This window comes from Homo sapiens, chromosome 7 (genome assembly GCF_000001405.40).
Source record: "Homo sapiens chromosome 7, GRCh38.p14 Primary Assembly".
In the NCBI taxonomy this organism is placed as follows: domain Eukaryota; kingdom Metazoa; phylum Chordata; class Mammalia; order Primates; family Hominidae; genus Homo; species Homo sapiens.
Window position 1 is genome coordinate 128,385,903 of NC_000007.14, and position 24,297 is coordinate 128,410,199.

Here is a 24,297-nt window from a genome sequence, read left to right on the forward strand (position 1 = left end):
GGAAGTGGTCAGACTGAAGGCAGTGCTAACGGGATTTGCTGATGGATTAAATATGAAGTGTGTGCCAAGCATGATGGCTCATGCCTGTAATCCCAGCACTTTGGGAGGCCAAGGTGGGAGGATCACTTGAGGTCAGGAGTTCAAGACTAGCCTGGGCAACAAAGTGAGACTCTGTCTCTACAAAAATAAAAAATTAGCTAGAAGTGGCAGCGCATGTCTGTAGTCCCAGCTACTCTGGAGGCTGAGGTAGGAGGATTGCTTAAGCCTGTGAGGTCAAGGCTGCAGTGAGCTATGATTGCGCCACTACCCTCCAGCCTGGGAGACAGAGCAAGACCCTGTCTCTTAAATAAGTAAATAAATAAATAGTGAGAGAAAGTGGAGTCAAGAATGACTCCAAGGGTTTTTGTTTTGTTTTGTTTATCTGAGCAACCAGAGGAATGAATTTGCTAGTTTTTAAGATAGGGTAAATTTAAGGAGGACCAGGTCTGGGAGGGTGGCAGGGAGTGTGATGTTAATTATATGTGTCAACTTGACTGGGCCACAGAGTGCCCAGGTATTTGTTTAAATATATTTCTGAGTGTGTCTGGGAGGGTGTTTCTGGATGAGATTTACATTTGAATCAGCTGATTGAATAAAGCAGACACCCCTCCCCAATGTGGGTGGCCCTCATCCAATCCATTGAAGGCTTGAATAGAACAAAAAAGGCTGAGTAAGAGAAAATCTGCTCTTTCTGCCTGTCTTCAAGCCGGGACATCAGTCTTCTCCTGCCTTTGGACTCTGGACTTACACCATCAGCTCTACTGGTTCTCAGGCCTTTGGACTCGAACTGGAACTACACCATTGGCTCTCCTGGGTCTCCAGCTTGGCAACTGCAGGTCTTGGGACTTGTCAGCCTCCACAATGATGTGAGCCAATTCTTTATAACAGTCTGTCTCTCTCTCTGTCTCTCCACAAACACATGCATTTTTTTTTTAGAAAAATATTGTATGATTTGTTCTGTTTCTCTGGAGAACCCAGACTACTACAGGGAGTCCGAAATTCAGCATTGGTTATGGTCAGTGTGAGATGTGGAGTAGGCAGGGAGAGGAGAGCTCAAGGGAGTAGAGAGTAGGTAATTGAACTGGATTTGAATCCTCCAAATCTGTCCCTTGACCTACTTGAAGTCGGTTTTCTCCTCTGCACAGTCCCTGGAATGGAATCCTTTCCTGCATCTCCTCTCCCCAGGTAGTCCTGGATTCCAGCTTTGTGTCCTCCTTGGCAAGCTCCCCTGTCCTGAAACTGCAGAGGGGCCACATGACCTCCACAGTCTGAACTGCTATTCCCTGTCCCTCTGTGGTCCTTTGCCAGGAGAAGCCCCCACCACGAGGTCAGGGGAGACCCTGAGCAGAGGAGTCTCCCCCCACCAGGCCAAGCAAGGAAAGAGCTCAGCTGGAAGGGGCTGGATTCATTCTCGCCTCTCTCCAGCCACTCCTGCAGCTCCTGGCTTCCTCGCAAGCCTCTCCATCAGCGCCCTCACAGGGCTTGGACACTTCACAGCTGCTGGGAGAAAGAATGGAATGGACCCAAGGACATCCAGGCAGGCCCAGGCCCTACCTGCTGGCGACTCGGGCAAGTCACTTTCTCTCTCCGAGTCTCGTTGTCCCATTCATCATAAAGGAACAGGCATTACTGCTATAGGGTTGCTGAGGATAAGATGCACCTTGTACAGCATAGTAATGAACGGCGGCAGAAAACAGGTCTTTTAGGCTCCTCTCCCCACCTAGCCAGCCTCTTTCCTTTCTCGGAGATGAGATTAGTTTACCCGCAAGCCCCGCCTGTCCTTTGGAAGCCAAATTTTACTACGGATGCAGGCAACCAGGGAATGGTTGCCAAGGGCCGGACTTTGAAAGGAAGGGCTGCTTGTTGCCTAGGAAACTGCCCCACTCCGGGTTCCCTGGGGTCCCAACGGTCGATGGGTCTTGGCGCCATCTGCCGGACACAGTACCACACTGCTTCTGAAGCTCCTAGACCCGGAGTCCCACAGCCTGTAGCAGGGAACACTCCTCTTCCCCTGCCCATTCTCCCCCACGACATCTCCACATAAAAGCTCTTTGCTCCTTTTGCCGCCAGGCTTTCCCAGAGATTAGAGGCATGGGAAGGAGTTGAAGTACTGTGGAGGGTGGGAGCGATGTCTTTCTCTACACAGAAAGAAAGAGGACAGGGAAGCAGGACTCCTGGTAGCCTGAGGTCCAAGAAAGTCTCTCCCTTAATTGCTTTCCTGAGGCTTGCCATCCACTTGGAAACTTTGTTTCCCACTATCTGCCTTTCCACAGGGAGGGAGGCATGGAAATGAAGAGGTTAAAGTTGAGGTAGGAGAGTGACATGTCGGTCACCCCAAGGTCCTGGTGCAACATCCCCTCCTGGGGAACCACTCAACTCCCACTGCTCCTAGACCGGAGTCCCCTTTTCTTCTCTGGGAGAACCTTCCTACCCACCTGACAGTTGCCAGGTGAACCCCTTGGAGCCTCAGATCGTCCTGCCCACTGGCAGAAGAGGGAGAAGCAGAAAGGTGCCTACTATGAGACTAGGATTCCTGAGTTCAATACCCACCCAAGGCAGACCCTGGGCTTGGCCACCCTGAGATCAGCCTGCCCTGAAAGGTGAAGGGGGAAGTGAAATATCTGAGGTTGGGATGCCTGGGGGTGGGGGTGTGCCTCTTTCCCTTTTAGGATCACAAGTAGAGAAACTGAGGCACAGAGTGAGCAAAAGGCTGCTCTTTACCTGTTCCAGGCTAATACCACATCTTGCTATCCAGATGTCCCCTCTCCAATTCTAGCTGGGCTGGGGTGGGGATGGGGGGCAAAGTTGACTTGGAAGCTGACACCCTGGCCCTCAGCCCAGAAGCTGATGTTGTCAATGGGCTTAAGAGCAGGTGGAGCAGGAGGCTGGGGACCAGGTCTCCTGGGTCCCTAAACCCACCTGTTTTCCCTCCTGAGCTGAGCCAGAAGGGTAAGCAAGGAGGAGGCTGGTGATGATGATGCCTGCACCCTGCAAGTGAGAAGCCATGCCCTGAGGACAATAGATGTGAGAGGTGGGGCTGGGTGCTCTGGCCTAGAAGAGGCTGCATGTGGCTGGAGGCTCCAACCTGGCCGCTGCCCTCTGTCCAGGTTCCCTGCCTCCAAACTCTCCTCAGCAGGAAGCAGGAGGGCTTCAGGGGTAAGGTGAGGTGGGCAGGGTTGGCCCCCCAACCTCCTGATTAGCTGAGTCTGAGTGTCAGGCTATAGTGGGGTCAAAGAGGCTGAGGTTGGAATGTGACCCTTACAAGCCAGAAGGGATCCTGAAAGAATAAAAAGCTCCAAGGAAGGGGAGAGGGAGGAGCTACCTCCCCCAACCCACCACGTCCCAATGGCTGGGTCCTTCCTCTCCAGCCCTGACTCCAGATGTGAGGAGAGAGGTGGAAGGAGAGACTGAGGGGAGCTGAGTGCCTCACAGCTGGGGCACTGCCCCTGCCTCCCCTCCACACTGACTGCCACTTCCTGACTGGCACTGGAGCCACAGAAGCTGAAAGGAGCCTCAGAGGGCTAGTCCAGTCCCCCTGAATGATTGGGTCATGCCATCTGAGGGCCCTGTTCGCAGTCCTTGGAGCCTGGGAGACAGTGAGGCCAGAGGTGAGGGCCACCCACTCCTCCTCCTCTTGGTCCCCCAGGGGGCACCAGAGATGGCCCCACTGCTACCCCCTGTGAGAGTAACTTGACTCTCCTGCTCCACATGCCTGCACTGAAGCCCAGGCCTCCCAGTCCCCTGGCTCTACCTGCTGCTCCTGTTCCTGCCCTGGCTGGGGGCGAAGCCAGCTGCCTAGGCTAAGTCCCTGCAGCTCCACCTGGCCTGCAGCTTTGACGCGCTGGCTGGGAGAGTGCACTGAGCCATTTCTTTTGCAGTGGCCTGGTGCAGGCTGCCTGAATGCTAATGTTGCTGCAAGGACCCTGGGGCACTGGCTGGTTGCACGCTGGCAGTGCACCCTCTCCCTGGGTGGCTACACCTTTGCGCAGATGCCGCTGCCCATGAGCTGGAACCTGGGTCACCACAGCAGCGTGGTTCAGCGCCTGTGGGGCCACATCTTCCACAATCTGGTGGTGAGCAGCCTGGATCACATGGTGCTGGGTGTGTGCCAGGGAGGGGTGAGGGGGTACCTGTGCTGCACAGACCTGGCTGGACCTCAGGGGGGCAGGTAGTACTGCTGACCAAGGCATCTCTGATCTGCATTTCTCCCAAATGTGGCTCTGGGCTGCCTCTGAATATCCACCTGCTGTGGCCTTCCTACCCAGAGTGTCTCTCCCTTTGTCCCACTTAAGCCTCCTGCACTGTGGCTGAATTTGCATCTCACAGTAAGTGTGTTTCCTGAGTCCAGACTTACATGCGTTTATTACCCAGGCAAGGGGAGGGCCCATAGGACACAGTAAGACTCATTTACTCATGCCTGTAATCCCAGCACTTTGGGAGGCCGAGGCGGGCGGATCACCTGAGGTCCGGAGTTCAAGACCAGCCTAGCCAACATGGTGAAACCCTATCTCCACTAAAAATACAAAAATTAGCTGGGCGTGGTCGTGGGCACCTGTAGTCTCAGCTACTCCGGAGGCTGAGGCAGGAGAATCGCTTGAACCCGGGAGGTGAAGGTTGCAATGAACCTAGATTGTGCCACTGCCCTCCAGCCTGGGTGACAGAGGGAGATTCTATCTCAAAAAAAAAAAAAAAAAGACTCATTTACTGAGCACCTGTAACCTTCCTCGTTCGTTCTCACATAATCCTTGCAATGAAGCCTGGAGGTGGGTGCTATGTCATCTGCTTTTCTTAGGACGCGTACTGTGGCAAGTCTCAGACCATATAACTAGATGCATGGAATTCCTCTAAAACAGTAATTCTCTAACTTTAGAACGTATCAGAATTGAGCGGCTGAGTAGCAACCCAGAGGCTCAGACCCCATCCTACTATGGCAAGCCTAGGACTTGTTATTAGCTCTCCAGGTGATTCTGACATGCACCAAACTTGCAGAGCCACTGTGCTAAAACCTCCTCTAGAAGGGCCATACTAATGCTACCATACCTTAAGGTGGAGATCACTGACTTACAAGGTAATTCATCCATTGGTCAGCTCTATTAACCAACTAGGTTTAGTTCAAAACGGAACTTCTCCCTTTGAACCACTCACGCTCTTGATTCAGAGTGACTTGGCATTTATCTGAAAACCCTTAGATCTTTCCCATCTCAACAGCTGGTCAAGGTGCTTCCTGCATGACTTTTGTAAACCAATGCACAAGACAAACCATGAAACAAGACAAACCATGAAACCATGTTTTGATCCATCCCCTCTCATCTTCAACCATCCCCTGGGACCTGGGCATTGTCCTCCCTCCCCGCTGGGTCACCTCTGACTCAGGTGCTCATCAAGGCCAGATTCCAGGGCACAAGGCCTCCCAGGACTGTCAATGACCCATTCACTTTGCAAGAACTCCTGGAGCAGATGTTGAACCAGCTCTGAGCCCACCTGATAGTCCTGCTGTCCAGCTCTTTCCTTTTTGTCCCTAGAAGCACAAAGCTAAAAAATGATGCAGTGAAAGGCTGGCCCCTGAGCAAGTAGCTCTTTGGCAGAAGGGGCCTGGGAGAAGGCAGGTATTAGCATGGCATGGCAGCAGGGAGCTGAGGGGCCCCTCCCTTAGCCATAGGAGTGTATCCAGATCTTCTCCTTGGTCTGCTCATTCCCGCCACCTGAGCATCCCCTGGCCATCTTCCGTGCCTCTGCCCACTTGAGTGGTATCTGTACCTTTGATGGACAGCTTTGTGCCCACTGCCCAACAACAGAGGCACAGGAAGGCAATGTGAATGTTCCAAAACCCCTCAACTCTAGGGGTATTCAGCAGCCCACGTGACAGTACTGTCTCCACCAGCCGGGGTTGAGGCTGGGAGGCAGGTCCTGAGCCACATACAAACAGTGGGAGCTGACCCACTCTGCTTTGTACCTACAGGTGTGTTTCGGCAGATGAGACCACAGGCGCTGGCCATGCTGTACTTCCACCTGTGCCCTGGCTGCACCATGTGGCATGATGAGGCTGCGGAGGGCGTTTTCCGGCAGCTGGGTGTGAGGCCCCGATGCTGGAATTCTACAGCCATGATGACCCCTCAACAATGCTGCCTGGCTGCAGGAGTTGCTGAGTGGCTTGCAGTAGGTGAAGCCTGGGAGACCTCCTGACATGGGGCCCACCTGCACCAGCACACCCCCACCCCACCCCCAGTACCTCAACACCCTCAAACCTTCCTGGGGAGGCAGGGCCTGGTGCCATACCCCCCAGCCCAACTCTGATGGGGCTCCAGCCACCCAATGGACAGGGCATACAGACAGGATAGTGGAGGCGTTGAGACCTGCTTGATTTATTCCAAGTATTTAATACACAATGACGCAACTGTGATCCCAAGTGTGCAAAGTTAAAGCCTTCGACTGCAGCTGAGGAGAAGGGAGGAATGGTTCACCTGGGGACGGTGGTGAGTCAGGAATGACAGGCAGGCGGCCATGACCAGGGCAGTCTCCTACCCATGGCCAGGGACAGGGGAGCGGCCTGAGGAGCAGGACCCAAGGGTAGCCCAGGGCCGGGGAAGGGGGCAGAGACCTCCCCTTGGCCTAGGTCAGGAGCTCAGAAGTGCCACATGGCTGAGGGGCAGCGGCCCGGGAAGGGCCAGAGGCAGGGCCAGGAGAGCACCATTTCCTGGGAGGCTAGGGGCAGGGAGGTGCCCTACAGGAGAAGCCAGGAGGGGCCGCCTGCCCCTGGGGTGGGGGCCAGGCTGGAGCAGGCTGCAGCAAGAAAGACCTGAGGCAGGCGCAGGGCCTGAGAGCCTGGCTGGCTGGGCTCGGAGGGGGGCTCCCAGGGCAGCCTGGCCCCGGGAGCAGTCCTGACTCTGCAGGGGATGCCGAGTGAGGGGCAGCAGTCCCCTCAGGACCTCCCCTCCTCTCTGCCTGGAAAGGAGCTGGAGAACCCGTAGTGCAAATCTGTGGACCACTCAGTTATGGAGGGAGGCTGTGCCCAAAAGTGGACACTGGGGTGCATCCCCTCCACCACCTCGGCCTCCACCGCTGTCCTCAGTACAGCCGCTTTTCGTAACTGTGGGGACAAGGCAAGAGGGGGAACAAGAGTGGGTGTGTGGACCCTGCTCCTTCCCAAAACCCTTTCCCCAGGGCCCCCAGATGTAGGAGAGAACAGAGAGCTGAGAAGCCCTGAGATCTCAGCCGTACGGCGCAGGAGGAGGGCCTGGAGCAGGCCCTAGGCCTCTGTCCTCCCCCAGGCCAGCATTCCCTGAAGAACCATGCTGGGTGCAGAGATGGCCATGCTCCTTTGGGCCATCGCCACATCTGAGTGGATGTCCTCAGTGCCCAGGGTGGAGGGACAGCTCAGGCAGGCATGGCCCATCCTCATGGAGCAAACTCCAACCTGGAGCCGAACCTCTGCTGCCCATGTCCGCACCCAGCCCCAGCCCTGCAGGCACAGTGGCCTAGGCTGCTTGTGGTCACTGGGTCCAGTCTAAAATGGGGCAGCCTTAGGCCTGAGGTCACGGGCATCTCTCTGCAGCCAGAAAGGGATATGTGTTTCAGCTGGATGAGGGGACACTGCTGGTTTCCTCCATCATGGTGTTGGAGTTAGGGGGCCGGGGGGGCCCAAACCCAGGGTCCACATCTCATGGTTACACCCCAGCACCCTCCTACCCCCACCCAATACCCACCCCCACCTCCAGCCCAGGTCCCACCCAGACTGCCCCTGCTCTACTCTACGCTTGGCCCGGGCAGCGCGGTTACTTACACGGCAGAAAGGTATAGCTACGGAAGGGTGGGGCGGAAAGAGACACAGGTTAGACGCCCGCTGATACCTGGGGACAGGGCTCCTGACCAGGGTGGGGCACATGCCTGCAACTACTGCTGCCAACGAGCACTGCCCCCGCCCACGGTTGCCCCAGCGCTGGCCCTGGCGTCCATCTCTCTGCCCTTGTACCCGCCAGAGGGGTCACACCCGCATCTTCTGCCTGGCTGCCTGGTGCCACCACAGCCCCTGCCACCAGCCACCAAGCTTCCTGAGCAAGCAAGGGCTGGGAGTCCAGGTGCAGTGACTGGCCACACCTCCTGTGCCCTGCTCGGGAGAGGCCCGAGGGGAGGGGAGGGCCTGCTTGCATGGGGACTAAAGGACAAGGAACAGGGGGCTGGGCCCCCGAAGAGAGGGTGAGGGGCCATCCTGCAGCAGCATCTGTCCCTGCTGCAGGTGGTCCATGGGGTCCCTGGAACCTCAGCTTGACCTCAGAACCCTGGCCCCACCTGCCCAACCCACTGCCTCCAAGTGACAGCAAGGAGGCCACCACACTTACGAGTGCAGGCCATGGACACCACCCTCAATCTGGGCCGACATGGTCCGCTTCTCAAACTTGAGCTCTCCTGAGTACATCATGGACCTAGGAGGAAGGTAGGTGGAGCAGATCAGGGCCACCAAGGGTGGAGAAGAGCGAGAGAAAGGAAGCAGGAGCCACCCCCAGTCTCAGCACTCACCGAAGGACAGACAGGCTGCGGGCCCCGATATCCTGGCAGCCGTGTTGGATGCCTGCTATGAGGTAGGGCACGAACTTCTGAATGGATCCTTTGTCCTGGATGGAGCCCGAGACACCCTGCGCGATCTTCACTTTATCCCCCTCGCTGCGTGGAGGGTGGAAGACTGAGCCCAGCAGCTTGAAGCTCAGAGGACCCCACCCCACCTCTTAAGGGCAAAAACGGGATACCGCCCAGGAAGGTCCCCCAGGCCACCCCTCACTGGGCTGAGTCAGATGGCCCAGGGACAGATCCTGGGTCTGCTACTTAAGCCCTGTGCCTCAGTTTCCAGAACCACCATATGGGGACTGGCTGCCATCTGGGGAAGTCGGTGGCATGAGCGGGCCCTGAAGGGTTGTGGGCTGATCTGCCCAGGTGGGGCCCAGGGTCAGGGAACCTGAAGTATCGTTTCTGGCTGCTGCTGCTCTTCTCCATGGCATCCAGTGAGCCCATGCCCCGGTACTTCTTGAGCCGCACCCCGTCTGAGAAGAAGTACTCGCCAGGGGCCTCCGTAGTGGCGGCCAGCAGGGAGCCCATCATCACTACAGTGGGCAAGGGATTAGTGCCTCCAGCCCACTAGTGCCACCCCCCCAGCTTCCAGCCCTCGCCTGCCCAATCCCCAGCACATTCTCCCCTCACCTGTGGAGGCTCCAAGGGCCAGGGCCTTGACCACGTGTCCCACGGTCTGGATGCCGCCATCGGCTATGATGGGCACACCAAAGCGCCGGGCATACTCAGCCACCTTGTACACAGCAGTGCCCTGGGGCCGACCACAGGCCATCACTGGGGGAGGGTGGGGTGCACAAGGCAGAGAAGAGTCAACAGCAACTCCGGGGCCTGGAGCGGGGCCAGCCCAGCTCTTCCTCCTGTGCACTACCTCTACTCAGGAAAAGGGACAGGGCTGGATGGTGTGTCTGAGGCATAACATAGGTGCTGGCAAATACCACCAGGATGAGTGTCACTCTAGGGATCTGGGCCACCCCACCCCTAAGAGCATGACAGGGGATTCTGACGGGGGAACCAGAAGCGGCCTTCAGAGCCCAATGCCCCCAGACAGGTGGCCCCAGCCTCACCTGCTCTCAAGGCACAAGTTCCCCTTCAAGGCTTTTGTTTGCAAAAACCGTTACCAGGGTTAGGTACTATGGTCCCCTTTGGGATACTGGTTTGCATTTCTTCAAGTCTAAGTGTCCAAGGTCCTTCAGTGTTAGGTTTTAGGTGGGGACTACAAGGAACCACACCTGTCTAGGGACGGATGCAAAGCTGGATAAACCAGAGATGGCGCCTCTCATTTGTTTTGTCCCTACTCTACCTCAAAGCTTTGAACAGTGCCTGAGACAAGTAGGTGCCTAATGAATATTTGTTAAGTGGGTGAGAGAGGGCCCTCATTTCACCATGGTGGCCACCTAAGGCGAAGGGCACAAACCTAAATAGCAGAGGCTCTGAGGACCAAAAGGGGGAGCTGTTTGGGGTAGGAAAGGCCAAATGCATCACTCAGTGTTTTGGAGAAATTGCCCTCACAGGAGGGGCCGGGTACATCTCCTCAGGCCAAGTGAGGACCCAAGTCTTCCAGGCAGCCACCCCACAAGTCAGATACCAGCCTCCAGGGAGCACCTCCTCAATAACCACATGGGGGACACATGCCAGGCTCCCCCCTTCCCACTTCATGTTCAGGAACCCACCCTGCAAAAGGGCTTTGTAATTGGGTGGAACTCCCCACGCCCAACCACATGGTGAAGCAGGTGTATAACATATCTTTATATATTCAGGGACATGTCGTCTCTGTGTCTTAAATATCTGCCTTGTCACAAATCAAATCCAAACCCTGAGGTTCCAACAAGCCCCATGGACAGTCACACCAGCCCCAGGCCCCAAGCCCCAGGCAGAGCCCCCTTGACCGCACTCTGAGAAGCAGGCTGCAGCTCTTGCACCCTGCTTACACCTGCCTTCCCCTAAGTCAGTGGGCCCGATGGGGTGGGGCCCATGCCTGGGTCACCCCGGAGCCTACCATGGCAGAACAGGGCCTGGCAGAGAGAGTACTTGATATACATCTGGGGAACAAAGGCGAGGCCCCGGGGCCAGCGGGCACTCGCTCACCTCCTGACACCCACCTTCCTGGGTGATGCAGATGGAGCCGCAGCCCATGCCCACGCGCAGCCCGTCCACACCAGCATCAATCAGGTTCTTGGCCTGGGCTGCTGTCACCACTGGGGGTGGGGATGGGGCAGAGGAACAATGTGAGGATGGGATGCCCCTGCCTGCCCAACAGCCTCTTGGGACCCCAGTCTAGCACCCCCCAACCCCCCTACAGTGACCAAAGCCCATCATGCTCCCTGCCACCCATGCCAGGAGCCATACCATCACCTAGGGATGCTGAAGGACAGAAAAGGGTTACTCATTGGAGGGGCAGGAGCAGGCGGGTGGGAGGCGACCCCGCACTCACCGTTCCCCCCAATCACCTGGAGGTGGGGGTACTTCTGTTTGATGTAATGCACCATGGCGATCTGATACACCGAATTCCCTTGGGACGAGTCCTGTGAGAAAGGACGGAAGAGCTTGGGCTTAGACAGCTGAGGATTCTCAAGGCAGGAGGGAGAGCCTGAGTGGATGAACCCCTCAAATCCTATGAAAACTGTTATGAGAATGCTCTTTCCTTCTGGTTGTTTTTTTTTTTTTTTTTCTGGAAATTCACTTGACAACTTTCAGTCAATTCTCAAAGGGGACTGCTTCCCTGAAAGGTTAACCACAACTAATGCAGTCTTAGAGTACATAAGGCCTTTCCTATCCATTGTACAGACTGATCCTTAAAGCAAGGAGACACTGCCTGGAGCCATATCCTGTTCCCACCAACTCACTAACCAAATGAAATGACTTAACTTCTTTAAGCCTGTTTCTTCATCTGAAAATGGAATGGCGACTGTTCCTCAATGGACTGATATACATTAAGGTCTTGACGCAGTGCCTGGCAAACAGGCGGTTCTCAGTAAACGTGAGCTAAATTATCAGGGTCAACTTATGAGCCAAGAAGGCCCTCAGAGGCCTTTGTTTGCAGTCTGTTGTGAGCTGTTGAGAGGGTGCCAGTGACCTTCCTAATTTCTCTTCCTCCTAGTTATAGAATACAGATGAATCTAGATGTATGGTCCAGATCACTCACAAGGGATCAATAAGCCTTTATCTTTATTCTACCTCCCTTTATCGGGGGGTGGGGGAGAGTCTTGATTTGCAATTGTTGCTTGCAACAATTTGTCAATTTTTTTTTTAAGGATTCAGTGGGTACATGTGCTTGTTGCTTAAATGGAATACTGCATACTGGTGAGAATTGGGCTTCAAGTGTACCTAATACCCACATATCGAAAACTGTGTCTGATAGCCAATTTTTCATCCTTCGTTCCCCTCCCACCCTCTCCCATTTTGGAGTCCCCAGCGTCTATTATTTCCATCTTTATGAACATGTGTACTCTCTGTTTAGCTCCTACTTATAAGTGAGGGCATGCAGTATTTGGTTTTCTGCTTTGGAGTTAGTTCACTAAGGATAATGGCTTCTAGCTCTGTCCATGTTGCTGCAAAGGACAGGATTTCATTCTTTCTTATGGCTGTGCCACTGGAGAATTTTAACTTGTTTGTTTTCTTTCTTTGTATCTCAGATGACACAAACCATTGTTTGTTTTTTGAGAAAGGGTCTCGTTCTGTCCCCAGGGCTGGAGTGCAGTGGCACGATCCTAGCTCACTGTGACCTTGAACCTCTGAGCTCAGGCAATCCTGCTGCCACCCTCCTAATTCTGACACCAGGGAGCACTCAGAAAGAGAGAGGAAGAGTAGCAAGGGAGGGGCACAGGCTTAATCAGAGGTGAACCTGGGTCCTCATAAACCTCCACTCTGCTGAACCACTCATCCATCTCCCCCACCACTCAGGCGGGGGCCTTACCAAGACTATGACGTCGACGCCCGCCTGGGTGAGCAGGTCCAGACGGTATTTGTCATCCTCACGGGTGCCCACAGCTGCCCCACAGAGCAGCTGCTTCTGGGAATCCTTGGAGGCCAGAGGGTAGTCTCGGTTCTTCTTCAGGTCGGTGCGGGCGATGATGGCCACCAGCTCATCGCAATCATTGACGATAGGCAGCTTCCCTGACAAGGAATGCAGGGGTGAAATGAAGCAGGCTTGGTGGGGAGAAGTTTGGGAGATGTTTAGGAGGGTGAAGATGAAAGTGGACCACTCCAGAGATTCCACTGAAGTACCCCAGTCAGCCACTAGGTGACAGCACCGCCCCCAGGAAGTGTTCCTAGGGACCTAGCCCTCTTCCCAAGGAACAGGGAGCAAAGAAATCTTTCAGCCCAGCAGGTTCCTGGGGGTCTGTGGATGGGCATCCCCGTGGCCTGGGATGGGCAGCCCGAGCACTGGCAGCCTTTCACCTGCTGGGCCACAGTGGCCGAAATCTCCTAGCCAGGAGTGATGCTGTCCTGCAGGGAGAAGCATGTGCCCTGTCCAATACAGACACCAAAGAACCCTCCAGTATGGACCAGGGAAGCATTTCCCAGTATAGCCAACAGGGACCTGGTGAATATTTAATTTTTCCTTTTTTTTTCTAACAAGCGAAAGTTGGCCGGGTGTGGTGGCTCACAGCTTCCTCACTTTGGGAGGCCGAGGCAGGTGGATCACTTGAGGCCAGGAGTTCAAGAACAGCCCGGCCAATATGGTGAAACCCCATCTCTACTAAAAATACAAAAAAATTACCTGGGTGTGTTGGTGTGTGCCTGTTGTCCCAACTACTCGGGAGGCTGAGGTAGGAGACTTGCTTGAACCCAGGAGGCAGAGATTGCAGTGAGCCAAGATCACACCACTGCACTCCAGCCTGGATGAGAGAGCAAGACTCTGTCTCAAAAATAAATAAATAGAAGCCAAAGTTGTGGCAGGGCATGGTGGTTCACGCCTGTAATTCCAGCACTTTGGGAGGCCCAGGAGGGCAGATCACTTGAGGCCAGGAGTTCAAGACCAGCCTGGCCAACATGGTGAAACCCCATCTCTACTAAAAATACAAAAAAAAAAAAAAAATTAGCTGGTATAGTAGCACATGCCTGTAATCCTGGCTACTCAGAAGGCTGAGGCATGAGAATTGCTTGAACCCAGGAGGCGAGGGTTGCAGTGAGCTGACATTGCGCCACTGTACTCCAGCCTGGGTGAGAAAGTGAGACTCTGTCTCAAAAAAAAAAAAGCTAAAGTTGTTTCTAGCTGGAAAATATTATAAAAACAGCTCTAGTGTCAAATAAATTTAACTGCAGGACTTCTGAGAGCCTTTAATAAGTGAATGTGCAATTCTTTATGCAAGATAGGGGATAGAGAAAGGAGTTATTGCTCAGGATTTTTTTCTGATGAGCATCGCATAGGACTAGTTTTGGGAAACATACTATGAAGATGCTGCACTAGGGGCAAGCTTCCCTAAGCTAAGAGAAGGATGGCAGGAGTTGTGCTCTGGCCTGCCTGAGGTTATTCGAACCTTCCCCAGGGCTCAGTCTGGTTGCTGGGATAACCTGTAAGGCTGTGAAGGAACAACGGGACTGTGGACAGGGAGTCAGGCTGGGGGTTGAGTTTTCAACTAGCTCCCTGGTACCTTTCTTGCTACGCTGCAGGATCTCATTTGCCTCTTTCAACGTCACACCTGCTGGAGCCACCACCAGTTCAATCCTTGGCGTCATCACCTGTGGGGCCAGGAACATTTGCCTGCAGGTTGGCAGGTGAGAGAGAAGGAGCCAGGCCTCCCTCTGGTCCCTGGTCACAGGCACCAGTCTGAGGCCCCAGCGTGAGGGTCCTCTCTACACCCAGCCCTGCTTCCCCTGCCCTGCAGGTACCTCACTGAGGAGGGTGGTGTGGTCCTTCTCAGCAAGAAAGTCGATGTCTCGGGAGGTGACGATGCCCACCAGCTTGCTGCCCATGGTGCCCGTCTCAGTGATGGGGATGCCAGAGAAGCCATGCCGCATCTTGGCCTCCAGCACATCGCCCACAGTGTGCGAGGGGCTCAGCACCACAGGGTCCGTGATGAAGCCCTGTTCAAACTTCTGCGGGCAGAGATGGGGGAGGAAAAGGCTGGAAGAAAGCCAGGGATGATGTCCAGGCTGGCCACAGGGAACAGAGGATGCAGCTGTGCTGCAGAGAAGCCAGGACCCTCAGTGGGATGAGGAGCCAGTGGGAAAATGAGGGCTCGGCCCCAAGGCTCCACTGAGAGGAAGGACACGCAGGGAGTGTAGCAGTGCAGGGCTGGCAGGGGAGGCTGGGAGGGCCTCTGAGGTGGGGACTGCCAGGTGGCATCTTGCTGGGGACAGGCCTGGTACTTGCCTTGACCTTCCGCACCTCGTTGGCCTGGAACTCTGGGGTGCAGTTGTGGTGAATGAAACCAATACCTCCCATCAGCTGATGTAGAAGGGAAGTGTGGTCAGAGCCGGGGCCCATTCCTCCTCAGCCCTGCCCCTCAGCACAGCCCACCATGGTCAGTTCCTGTGTGCCCTGGAGTCCCCATGCAGGTGTGTAACTCACAGCCATGGCAATGGCCATGTCAGCCTCTGTCACAGTGTCCATGGGGGAGGAGATCAGTGGCGTCTTCAGCGTGATCTTCCGGGTCAGGGCTGAGGTCAGGTCCTGAGGATGGAGGCACAGCCCACGTAAAGAGTTTATCACCCACTGGACACTCACTCACTGAGCTCCTACATGCACCGGCACCAGGACAGGCCCTGGGGACATGGCAGTGAACAAGGTGGATGAGTTCCCAGCTCATCTAATGGAGCTTATGTTCTACTTGGAAAGAAAAATGACAGACACAGGACATATGCTCAAGATGACTTCAGTCAGGATGAAGGCTGCAGAGAAAAACAAAAAGGCCAAGCGACCACTGGCAACAAGGTGACTGGGGAAAGCCTCTTTCCTGGGAGGTGACCAGTGGGAGCCGATTAAGTAGAAGTCAGAGGGGCTGTCACTCTCGGCTGAGGGACTGAGTGCAAACCCGCCTCAGGGTCCAGTTCTTTCGGAGGCACACTTAAGAAAGAAAAAGAAGGCCAGGGGAGTGGAGGGAAGGGAGAGGCAGGAGGAAGGCAGGGGCAGCATGCATGGCCGTGAAGACCACGGACAGAAGCTCAGATTTGATTCGGAGAGAAGCCACTGGAGGGTCTTGACAGAGAAATGATCTGATTTATGTTTCAAAAAGGTCACTCAGGCTCCAAGGTGGAGAATGGATTCTGGGTGACAAGGGCTGAGGTGGGGGTAGGCATGGAAAAGAGTCTTTTAGGCATCCAGGAAAGCAAGCAACGAATGGTCTGGAGCTCAGGAGAGTGGTCAGGATTGCAAGTATCCATTTAAAAGCCACCTGCCCATGGAGGAAAGGCCAGAGCACATACCCCTCTGAGGGTCAGGCCAACAGTAGTGGATCCCAGTCCCCAAGACATTTGTGCAGACTTTGCTATGTAATTTTTTTAGATTCAAAGTCCCTGAAACCCATCACTAACCCTAGTTCAGACCTCTGGCCCCATGATCTAGAAAACACCATCTTCTCTTTTGTCATGCCACAGAAGGGCCACAGCCTTCCTGACAGAAGCCACAGGACAAGGAGATCCTTGCCGGCCAGGCAGGGTTTTTTTTTTTTTCTCTCTCTGATGGAGCCTCATTCTGTCACCCAGGCTAGAGTACAGTAGTGCAATCCCGACTCACTGCAACCTCCGCCTCCCAGATTCAAGTGATTCTCCTGCCTCAGCCTCCCGAGTAGCTGGGATTACAGATGCCCGCCACAATGCCCAGCTAATTTTTGCATTTTTAGTAGAGATGGGGTTTCACCATGTTGGCCAGGCTGGTCTCAAACTCCTGACCTCAGGTGATCCTCCTGCCTCAGCCTCCCAAAATGCTGGGATTACAGGCATGAGCCACCACGCCCAGCTGGTAGGGGTCTTTTCAATCCCTCCCTTCCTAGCAGCCAGCCCAGGGTCTGACACAAAGCCACACTGGCCAGTAAACTTTGTTAAACTGAACAGCTGCACCAAGCAGGCTTCCTGGTTGTTGTCATAAGGGAAACAACCAGAATCATTCGAATTTCCCCCTGAAAATCTGTCTGGGTCAGCTCTGGCTAAACACCAGCTGGATGTGAACTTCCCTCACATGTAAGTGATCCAGGCACACTCAGGCCCTCTGGCCTTTCATGAGAATCAGACCAGAATAAATAGCAATAATAATAGCAACAGAAAAGAAATGTTTTTTTTTTAATGTATATGAATTCATCATTGAATCATGGCACTTTTTCTTGAAATGACTTACACCATCATCACTACCCATCTGGGCTTCTCTGAGTTTATCATATGTTAATTGTTCATTGATTCGGCTCACTGATGAGCCCCTCTGGGAAAGCAAGGCACTGCGTTTCCTTGTATTTATCCAAAATGTAACTCTTTTAAACCCTCTTGCCAGTTCTTGTACATTGTGGATCAGTGAACAAGTCTGTCTACCGGTTTCAAATCTCCATAATTTCACTGGCTTCTATCATGTCCTTGTTCAGCATTCCAGACAAAATCCAATCCTTATGGTCTCTACAATAAGGCAGCCACTCCCAAGCCCACCGTTCCCACTCCCAAGCCCACCCCTTCCCAGGCCTCTTCTGAACCTGCCCACAGGCTCTGTCACTGACAGAGAGCCACCCAGCCCTGGGCCAGGCCTCACTCAGGACACTCCTGTGTTCCCATAGCTGCCTCTGCCCCATCAGGTATAACCCTTTGATCTCTGCCTGTTTCTCTGGCAACAATAAAGGCTATATCCACCCATACCAGCTGGGTGGAATCACCCCTGTAATCACAGCGTCTTCGGAGGCTGAGGCGGACGGATCACTTGAGCTCAGGAGTTTGAGACCAGCCTGGCCAACATGGTGAAACCCCGTCTCCACTAAAAACACAAAAATTATCGGGGGGTTTTGGCATGTGCCTGTAATCCCAGTTACTCAGGAGGCTGAGGCAGGAGAATCACTTGAATCTGGGAGGTGGAGGCTGCAGTGAGCTGAGATCACACCACTGCACTCCAGCCTGTGTGACAGAGCAAGACTCTGTCTCCAAAAAAAAAAAAAAAAAGGACTATATCCTATCCACCCATTCCCAAGAAAAGTCTCTCCATCTCTCCATGCCCTGCCCCTGAGCAAGAAGTCAGCCTCTTCCACCACATACACAGCCCCCTCCCCTTGTCAAAGGAAGAGGTACTCACCACCTCATCAGCTATGAAGTCTATGAATCCTGGGAGAATCAGGAAGTCGCTGTGAAGACAGAGAAGTGAGTGTTATTAGTGGGGAGGGGTGCCCCAAAGGGGCAGAGCCTGCCATGCCAGAGGAGGCAGCAGGGGGGTACAGAAAAGCCTAGAGGAGCAGAGGCTACAGCCCCCCATCCCTACTGCCCCATCAGGGCAGTTCCCACCTCGTGCACCTCACTAGAGTCTGGCAAACTCCAGCCCCCAGAGCTAGAGCCAAAGACAGCGAAAGGTCTACTGGGGTACCATCAAGGTAATAGGCCCAAAATATCCATTGCCTTTAAGTCTCAGAGTTTGTCAAGCGACACAGAAGTTCCCATATCGCCACACACAGCAGACACAGTGCCTGCCTTTGAAAACTTCTCAATCTTGATGGGGAGAGAAAATAAGTAAACATTGGGAACAAACCTGAGAACAATTTTGTGGCGCTCAACACAGTATGAACATGACCCAGCACAGGACAGTCCGCATGCCCCGGTGCCTGGGCTGCTGAGTCACACAGGGCTCGGAACAGCATGGAGGGACCCCAGGGGGCTGAGTGCAGGGCATGTTCTGACAGAGCAGAACAGAAATGGCCAGGACGGGAAAGGGGAGGAAAGAGGCCTTAGAGGTGGGACCAGGACACTGGGTCCCCAGCCAAAGCATGGCAGCTACCAACACTAGGGTGGGCCACGGTCACAGCAAACTCCGCAAGGGAAGTGCAGGCCTGCATGGGTACATCTAGGTGCAGGGTCACAGCTCAGGGGCCCCAACCTGCTAAAATCACAGCAGGCCTTGAGAGACACACCCAAAAGCAAATATCCCACACTTCAGGAACACTATGAACTGAGCTAAGCAAAGCAGCAGGCATCCCTAGCGCAGGAAGGAAAAGCCACAGGGTGGAGGGGGGTGGGTCATTAATCTGCCCTAAGGCCTAGAGAAACTCCTAGGCGTTCCCCTAGGGTGTTCTCCTAGAAGACTTCAATGACAACTGTATCAAAGGTGGGCTTTCAATCTCATCACCAAAGACCACCAAAAAAACAAAGAATTTCGGCTGCTCCCAGCCTTTGGCAGCCCTTCTTCTGTATAGCAAAGAGGCCACAGAAGAAATGCTGGAGTCTGGGCCTCATAGCATTTTCTAGGTGTTCTATACACCCGTCGCCTACGGGCAGGCAGGAGGAGACACTCCTCAGGAGTGACTGGGTATCCTGGTGTTTAGGGAAACTGCTGGCCAAGCAGGAGTGCTTACAAGCCAGGGCAGGGCTGGCAGGAGACAAGGCAGGGATGCTTTTGACTGGCCAGCATCCCCACTCTGCCCCTTCTGATGCTCCTTCCTGGCAGGGGCACAGTCCTGCAGCCAGGAGGCAGAGCTAGTGCCAGGCCTGCAGCACGCAGGGCAACTGGCCTAGGGACCACGGAAAAGGCAAATGAAGCCAGAGGCAGACGGGTGGGTCTGTGTCCTCCTCCAAAACCCCATGTAGGGTGGGCTTAGGGGTAGCAGTCACAGAATAATTCGCGCCTTGGGAGGGGCACCAATACCAACCTGTGGGCAGGGAGGGACACAACTGGAAAAAGCGCTGGACTAGACAGTTGGAAAAGAAGCCACCCCAACCACCTGGCTGGGCCTCTCCTGGGGCCATGCGGAAGCGGCTGCTTAAGCTTGGCTCCGGGGACCCTCTGCCCTCGTGGTGAGGCTGGGAGGGGGCGTCCTGGACCAGCGGCTGGGAAAAGTCTCCCCATAATGCCCACATCTCCAGTTCCCACACGCCCGAGGGCCCCTCCATGCCGCTGAGAGGAGGAAGGGGACAGGCCGAACCCGGATCTGGCCAGAAACGGGTCAGGGCTCTGAGGGCCGCGGTGTCGCCGTGCCACGTCCGTCTGCTCCGGCGCGGGCCTCCTTCCTTCCCGTGCCCAGCCCCCAGCGCCCACAGCAGGCACTCGCACCGGGCAGGGAACGCCGGGGGAGCCGCGCACGTGCAGGGCCGGCCCGGGGGTCGCGGCGCGTGGATGCGCGCACCTAGGGGTACGAGACCCGGCGCTTACTTGTAGGTGAGGCCGTCGGCGCTGGCGAAGAGCTGCTGCGCGGTGAGCCCATCCTCGGGCACGTAGCCGGTGCCGCCGCTGATCAGGTAGTCCGCCATGCTGCCGCGAGACCCCGCGACCCGACATAAACACCCGCGCGGCCGCCCGCCGCTGCCGCCGCTGCTGCTGCTGCTACTGCTGACGCCGCGCCGCGGCCACGCTGCTGCCGCGGGCCGGGCGGGCCGGGGGCGGGGGCGGGGGCTGCGGCAGCGGCAGGGCGGGCCAGGGCGCCGCCCTGTCCTCCCGCCCCTCCCGCCCTTCTCGCCCCTCCCGCGGAAACCGCCGCCTCCGCCCGCGCCGCACAAAGGGCTCAGCCGCGCCGCGCGCACGCCCCCAGCTGCCTGCAGCGGCGCTGCGACCCCGCAAGCCCGGACCGGGTAGGAGGTGTGGGGCTGCGGGGGAGAGTACCGGGTCAGGCCGGGACACGCCCCCTCCGCCGCTCTACATCCAGCCACCCAGGACCCCCCAGCAGAGGCCCCACCCCCCCACACCCCCACACCCCCCACCCCCCCCACCCCCGAGTTCTCCCCCAGCCGGGGCCACCCACCTTGCCCTTCTCCCCAGGGCACCTCTAACACGGTTCTGCCGTTCCCCAATCCCCAATACTCTTCCGCGGACCCTGATCAAGGCCCGGAGCCCTGAGAAACCGGTCTGGGCTCTCAGCTACCCAGCACTAAGGACTTTGAGGTTGGATCGCTATGCCCCATCCCGACATCCTAGGGAGCCGGCATTCTTCATAATGACACTCCTTGACCTTTGGGTGGCCTTGGGGCCCTCTGCAGTTTACAAAGCATTTTTCATAAATGAGCACATTAACTCCACAATCTATTAATTGACAAGTATTGGGTACCCATTCCCTTGACAGAGGCAAAATCTATAGTTCGGAAAGGAAGGGAGGGGTACTGCTTCTGATTCATGGCCCAGTGCTTCGGCTCACCGCCCTATCTCCGGCTGAGAAAATGGTGTTGGTACCAGGGCTTTTAATCTCAGAGAGCGGTTTGTTATTTGGGAGGGTCCTGCGGTGGGAAGATGGGGGAGGATCATAAGCCTGGCTTAGACAAGTGTGCATACAAATAAGAACAGGGGCTAGGGAACTTCTGAAAAATCCCCAAAGCAGAAGTTGGTGGCCCTGGGTGCCCAGCAAGATCCAGATTTCTACATGGGGGCAGTGACTGGGTACAGATAGGTTCACATGGGGAAAGGTGGGGTGGTAGGAAGTAGATCCCCTTCCCTCTTATGGGACCAGAACTGCCAGTGCTCTTCCCAGACCAAGAGTGGGTCCCCCCACCCAGACTCCACAGCCTCCTCCCTGTGTCCTCCTGTGGCTCCCACAGCTCACTTGGGGAGAAGAGAATAAGGTGGTGTGGGACACAGTCCCCTCCCTGGCTTGGTGGCTGGCTGTGGCCCTGGGAGGCTGGGTTTATTTACTTCTCAGCAGTGTGATGGCAGCTAGGCCCAGGGGAGGCTTGGCCTCCAAGCCACGAGGTTCCCTGGGATGCCCAGCCTCCCCCATTGATGCCCCCGGGACCCTGCCAGGAAAACACAGACTGTTCCATCTGTGTGCAGAGGGGAGGCTGGGGCCGGATTGCCAGCGATGTGTGGGAAGCACCTCTGAACCTTCAGCATTCTTGGGCTCATGCAGGGAGCCCGGGCCACATGGGGGACCAGGGGAGCGTCCTGAGGAGCACCAGCACTAGGACCTTTCACTGGCCACGTGGAGCAGAGCAGTGAGACCAGCCACAGAAAGTGCCTGACCATTCAGAGCTGCTCTGGGGTACCTTTCTGGCCACAGAAGAACAGAGCTATCATGCCAACTGCAGGCACAGAGCAGAGATTGGCACACAGCAGAGACCAGCCCAGTGGTCTCTCTGGGTTACTGGGTCACTAAAGGACCTGCTCTGGGTCACTGTCCCCTACAGTATGAGTTAGGAATGGCTAGAGTACTATTCAGGATTCAACCAGAGCCAGGGCCCAGGAGAGCAGCTGGATTTTACCATCTCAGGTGACCTGACTGTGACATCTGCCCCAGCCTTCTTAGGCTGCCTGGCTGAGGCATGGGGAGGGTCACCTTCCCAGTGATTACAGACTTCATGGCCCCACTCCCCTCTCCTGCTCCCCTACACACCTCCCACTTTAACCTGTGTTGGGCTCCTCATCACTCTAAGCTGCTGGGCTCAGCCCTGGGTTAGGCTGTGCTTTTCCAGAGACTCCGCTAATCCACCCTCAACCCCCACTCTCATACACCCTCTTCCTGATCTTCCCCAGCTGCTTCCTCCATGGGGAGGAGACACCGAGGCAACCAGTCGGCCTCCGAAGCCGAGGAAGGGCTGTTGTTCCCTGAGACCCCCACCTAGCAGCTGTGGGGATAGGAAGGCAGGTCCAAGCCCCTTCCTCAGGGTAGCAGGGCAACAGTGCCCAGCTGGGTACTGAGGTCCAGGCAGGGAACCCCGAGGGCTCTATCAGGCCTGGGGCTATTTGAAGGAACAAGATTTCAAAACACTCTTGAGGGGAAGATGGGGGAAGGGCAGAAAAGGTAGTAACATTAGCACTGTTGAGCTGGGTCGGGGGCATAGCCTGTCCAAGTTCAAGCCAGAGAGCAATAACACTGGATTCAAACCCAGGACTGCTCACAGAATCCTGTCCTCTTCCCACAGCTCCAGGTTGGCGAAGGCAGGTGGAGGTCTGGCCAGCAGGTTTTGAATCTCACTACACCACCTGGCTGGGGCTCAGGTTTACACAGGCTCCCTGAGCCCAAGTGGGGGGTGCGGGTCGGTTGGGGGTGGGGGTAGGGATGGCCCCTTGATGCAGAAGTGCAATCTGGAGAAAGGATGCACTCACATGGCTCCGGCCTGAGCTCTGAAACATTATGTTTGCAACCCCTACTCTAACCAAGCACTGCCTCTGTCAAGCCCCAACCGGCTCATTCAGCCCCTGTGGCCCCTCCCTATCGCCCTGCGGCCTGAACCCCAGGAGCTGGATTTCTAGGACAGGAGAAAGGCTGGGAGTTGCCTAAGCCTGAGTCAATTCTAGAGAGGCAGCCTGCCAGGACAGGGGGGCCTAACTCAGCAGCCCCACTGCCGAGGAGCCCCTTAAGCCGTTAAAAGTTCTTACATAAGCGGCCAACCCCTGGGCAGAGCTGCCGGGCTAATTCCCCCAGACCACCCCCATCTAACCCAGCTGCCAGGTCACCTCCCCAAGCTGCTGAACACCAGCAGATGGGCAGAGAAAGAAGTCCAAATCCTCTGGACCGGAAGGACAGTGGGATTGCATTTCAAGCTGCGATACAATCCAGAGATTAGCTGCTGTCTCCTTTTCAGCCAGTCCCCCTGGGGCCCAGCTCACTACCCTACTCTTCCTCCAGTGTCCCTCATTCCCCTACAGACCCCAGCATGGGGGCCTGCGTCTTCGGAGAGACCTTGAGGTGAGCTGCACTGGCAGCCTCTCAGATCTCAGTGCATGGTGAGGAGGGGAGAGTGTCCTCACCTAGCCCTGCGAAGGCGATCCATCTGGACACCAACACCTGCCAGTAAGACCACTGAAGATAGTTCTAGGAGGAAACAGCTAAGGAGGGGTAAGCCAAGTCAGTCGGACAGGACTCCAGCAAGCACTGTTTGAACCCCAGGAGTTGGAGCCACCTGAACGGGGTGTCGTCGGGTGTGTAGCGAGGTCCAATCTAGGGCTAAGATTTTAGGGAAGGTTTTTACGACCTGTTCCCTCTCCTCCGCTCCCCCGTGCAACGAAGCACCTAACCCTTCGCACAGTGCCCGTCTGCATCCCCCAACCAAAGCCGGGAGCGTGGCGTTTCGGGAAGTTAGAGGCTGAGGCGGTAATAGGGGAAGGGTTTGTGGGGCCTGCCCCTCCCCCGCAGCGTCGCCGGGTTCCCGGAGCCGCCGCGCCCTCCTCGGCCGCCCGCCCCGGATGCGCCCCGCGCGCTCTGCCCTGGGCGTCACCTCTCGGGCTCGTAGCCGGCCTGCAGCAGTCGGGCGCTGTACCGCTGCGCCGCCGTCTCGTGTCCCGGGTGTTGCCGGGCTCCGGGCTCCGGAACAGCGGCGGCTCCGCCTCCCTGCAGCGGTGGTGGAGTGAGTGGCCCCTCCATGCGGAGGCCGCAGCTCAGGGCGGGCGGGAGCCTGGAGGCTCCCGGGGCCCCGGCTGGGCAGTGAGCGCAGCCCGGTCGAGTCCCGAGGAGGGGCGGGGCCGCCGGGGCGGGGCCTCGTGCCGGGGGCGGGGCAGGGGAATCCGGGAGTCGACTGGGCTCCGCCCTGGGCTCCCCGCTCTCCCCGGCGCTGCTACGCAGATGCCTAGACTCGGTTCGTCTCTCCCATCCCAGATTCAGCGAGGGTACATCGGGGGATGAGGGGGAGAGGTGTCCCTACACGGGTGGGACTGGAAAGAAC

General features: G+C 56.2%; 1 protein-coding gene and 1 long non-coding RNA gene across 17 annotated transcripts, besides 10 other annotated features; one reads left to right on the plus strand and one right to left on the minus strand.

Moving 5' to 3' along the window:
- Positions 1–779: 779 nt before the first annotated feature.
- LOC107986845 (uncharacterized) lies at positions 780–6,445 on the plus strand. 2 transcript variants are annotated; one of them, NR_148338.1, is made up of 3 exons: positions 780–905; positions 1,225–1,608; positions 5,999–6,445. It is a non-coding gene; the product is annotated as an uncharacterized LOC107986845 (long non-coding RNA). The 2 variants fall into 2 exon arrangements; NR_148339.1 differs by lacking the exon at positions 1,225–1,608.
- Positions 5,469–5,970: an enhancer, noted in NCBI's record as "H3K4me1 hESC enhancer chr7:128031425-128031926 (GRCh37/hg19 assembly coordinates)". NCBI's record gives its function as "activates a minimal SCP1, AML or CMV promoter by ChIP-STARR-seq in naive H9 embryonic stem cells {active_cell/tissue: H9 hESC(naive)}" and the evidence as "EXISTENCE:reporter gene assay evidence [ECO:0000049][PMID:30033119]".
- IMPDH1 (inosine monophosphate dehydrogenase 1) lies at positions 6,375–24,080 on the minus strand. Of its 15 annotated transcripts, none has more exons than XM_024446755.1 (17): positions 23,854–24,080; positions 23,387–23,464; positions 19,865–19,963; positions 17,804–17,852; positions 15,113–15,214; positions 14,915–14,989; positions 14,431–14,637; positions 14,193–14,280; positions 12,512–12,711; positions 11,030–11,120; positions 10,698–10,793; positions 9,229–9,372; positions 8,987–9,131; positions 8,554–8,697; positions 8,376–8,459; positions 7,820–7,836; positions 6,375–7,126 (listed from the first exon to the last, which is right to left on the minus strand). In XM_024446755.1, exons 1-17 carry the CDS (start codon positions 23,997–23,999, stop codon positions 7,026–7,028), a joined length of 1,866 nt encoding a protein of 621 aa, XP_024302523.1. In that variant the 5' UTR covers positions 24,000–24,080; the 3' UTR covers positions 6,375–7,025. The 15 variants fall into 15 exon arrangements, with proteins under 15 accessions (XP_024302523.1, NP_000874.2, XP_024302526.1 ...); NM_000883.4 differs by lacking the exon at positions 7,820–7,836 and adding an exon at positions 23,539–23,582 and having other exon boundaries at positions 23,387–23,450; XM_024446758.1 differs by having other exon boundaries at positions 23,387–23,582.
- Positions 17,831–18,447: an enhancer, noted in NCBI's record as "H3K4me1 hESC enhancer chr7:128043787-128044403 (GRCh37/hg19 assembly coordinates)". NCBI's record gives its function as "activates a minimal SCP1, AML or CMV promoter by ChIP-STARR-seq in naive and primed H9 embryonic stem cells {active_cell/tissue: H9 hESC(naive and primed)}" and the evidence as "EXISTENCE:reporter gene assay evidence [ECO:0000049][PMID:30033119]".
- Positions 18,448–19,063: an enhancer, noted in NCBI's record as "H3K4me1 hESC enhancer chr7:128044404-128045019 (GRCh37/hg19 assembly coordinates)". NCBI's record gives its function as "activates a minimal SCP1, AML or CMV promoter by ChIP-STARR-seq in naive H9 embryonic stem cells {active_cell/tissue: H9 hESC(naive)}" and the evidence as "EXISTENCE:reporter gene assay evidence [ECO:0000049][PMID:30033119]".
- Positions 19,681–20,295: an enhancer, noted in NCBI's record as "H3K27ac-H3K4me1 hESC enhancer chr7:128045637-128046251 (GRCh37/hg19 assembly coordinates)". NCBI's record gives its function as "activates a minimal SCP1, AML or CMV promoter by ChIP-STARR-seq in primed H9 embryonic stem cells {active_cell/tissue: H9 hESC(primed)}" and the evidence as "EXISTENCE:reporter gene assay evidence [ECO:0000049][PMID:30033119]".
- Positions 19,681–20,328: a biological region, named in NCBI's record as "H3K27ac-H3K4me1 hESC enhancer GRCh37_chr7:128045637-128046251".
- Positions 19,699–19,908: a silencer, noted in NCBI's record as "silent region_18602". NCBI's record gives its function as "represses an Ori minimal core promoter by ATAC-STARR-seq in GM12878 lymphoblastoid cells {active_cell/tissue: GM12878}" and the evidence as "EXISTENCE:reporter gene assay evidence [ECO:0000049][PMID:35858748]".
- Positions 20,079–20,128: a silencer, noted in NCBI's record as "silent region_18603". NCBI's record gives its function as "represses an Ori minimal core promoter by ATAC-STARR-seq in GM12878 lymphoblastoid cells {active_cell/tissue: GM12878}" and the evidence as "EXISTENCE:reporter gene assay evidence [ECO:0000049][PMID:35858748]".
- Positions 20,159–20,328: a silencer, noted in NCBI's record as "silent region_18604". NCBI's record gives its function as "represses an Ori minimal core promoter by ATAC-STARR-seq in GM12878 lymphoblastoid cells {active_cell/tissue: GM12878}" and the evidence as "EXISTENCE:reporter gene assay evidence [ECO:0000049][PMID:35858748]".
- Positions 20,349–20,398: a silencer, noted in NCBI's record as "silent region_18605". NCBI's record gives its function as "represses an Ori minimal core promoter by ATAC-STARR-seq in GM12878 lymphoblastoid cells {active_cell/tissue: GM12878}" and the evidence as "EXISTENCE:reporter gene assay evidence [ECO:0000049][PMID:35858748]".
- Positions 23,607–24,226: a silencer, noted in NCBI's record as "silent region_18606". NCBI's record gives its function as "represses an Ori minimal core promoter by ATAC-STARR-seq in GM12878 lymphoblastoid cells {active_cell/tissue: GM12878}" and the evidence as "EXISTENCE:reporter gene assay evidence [ECO:0000049][PMID:35858748]".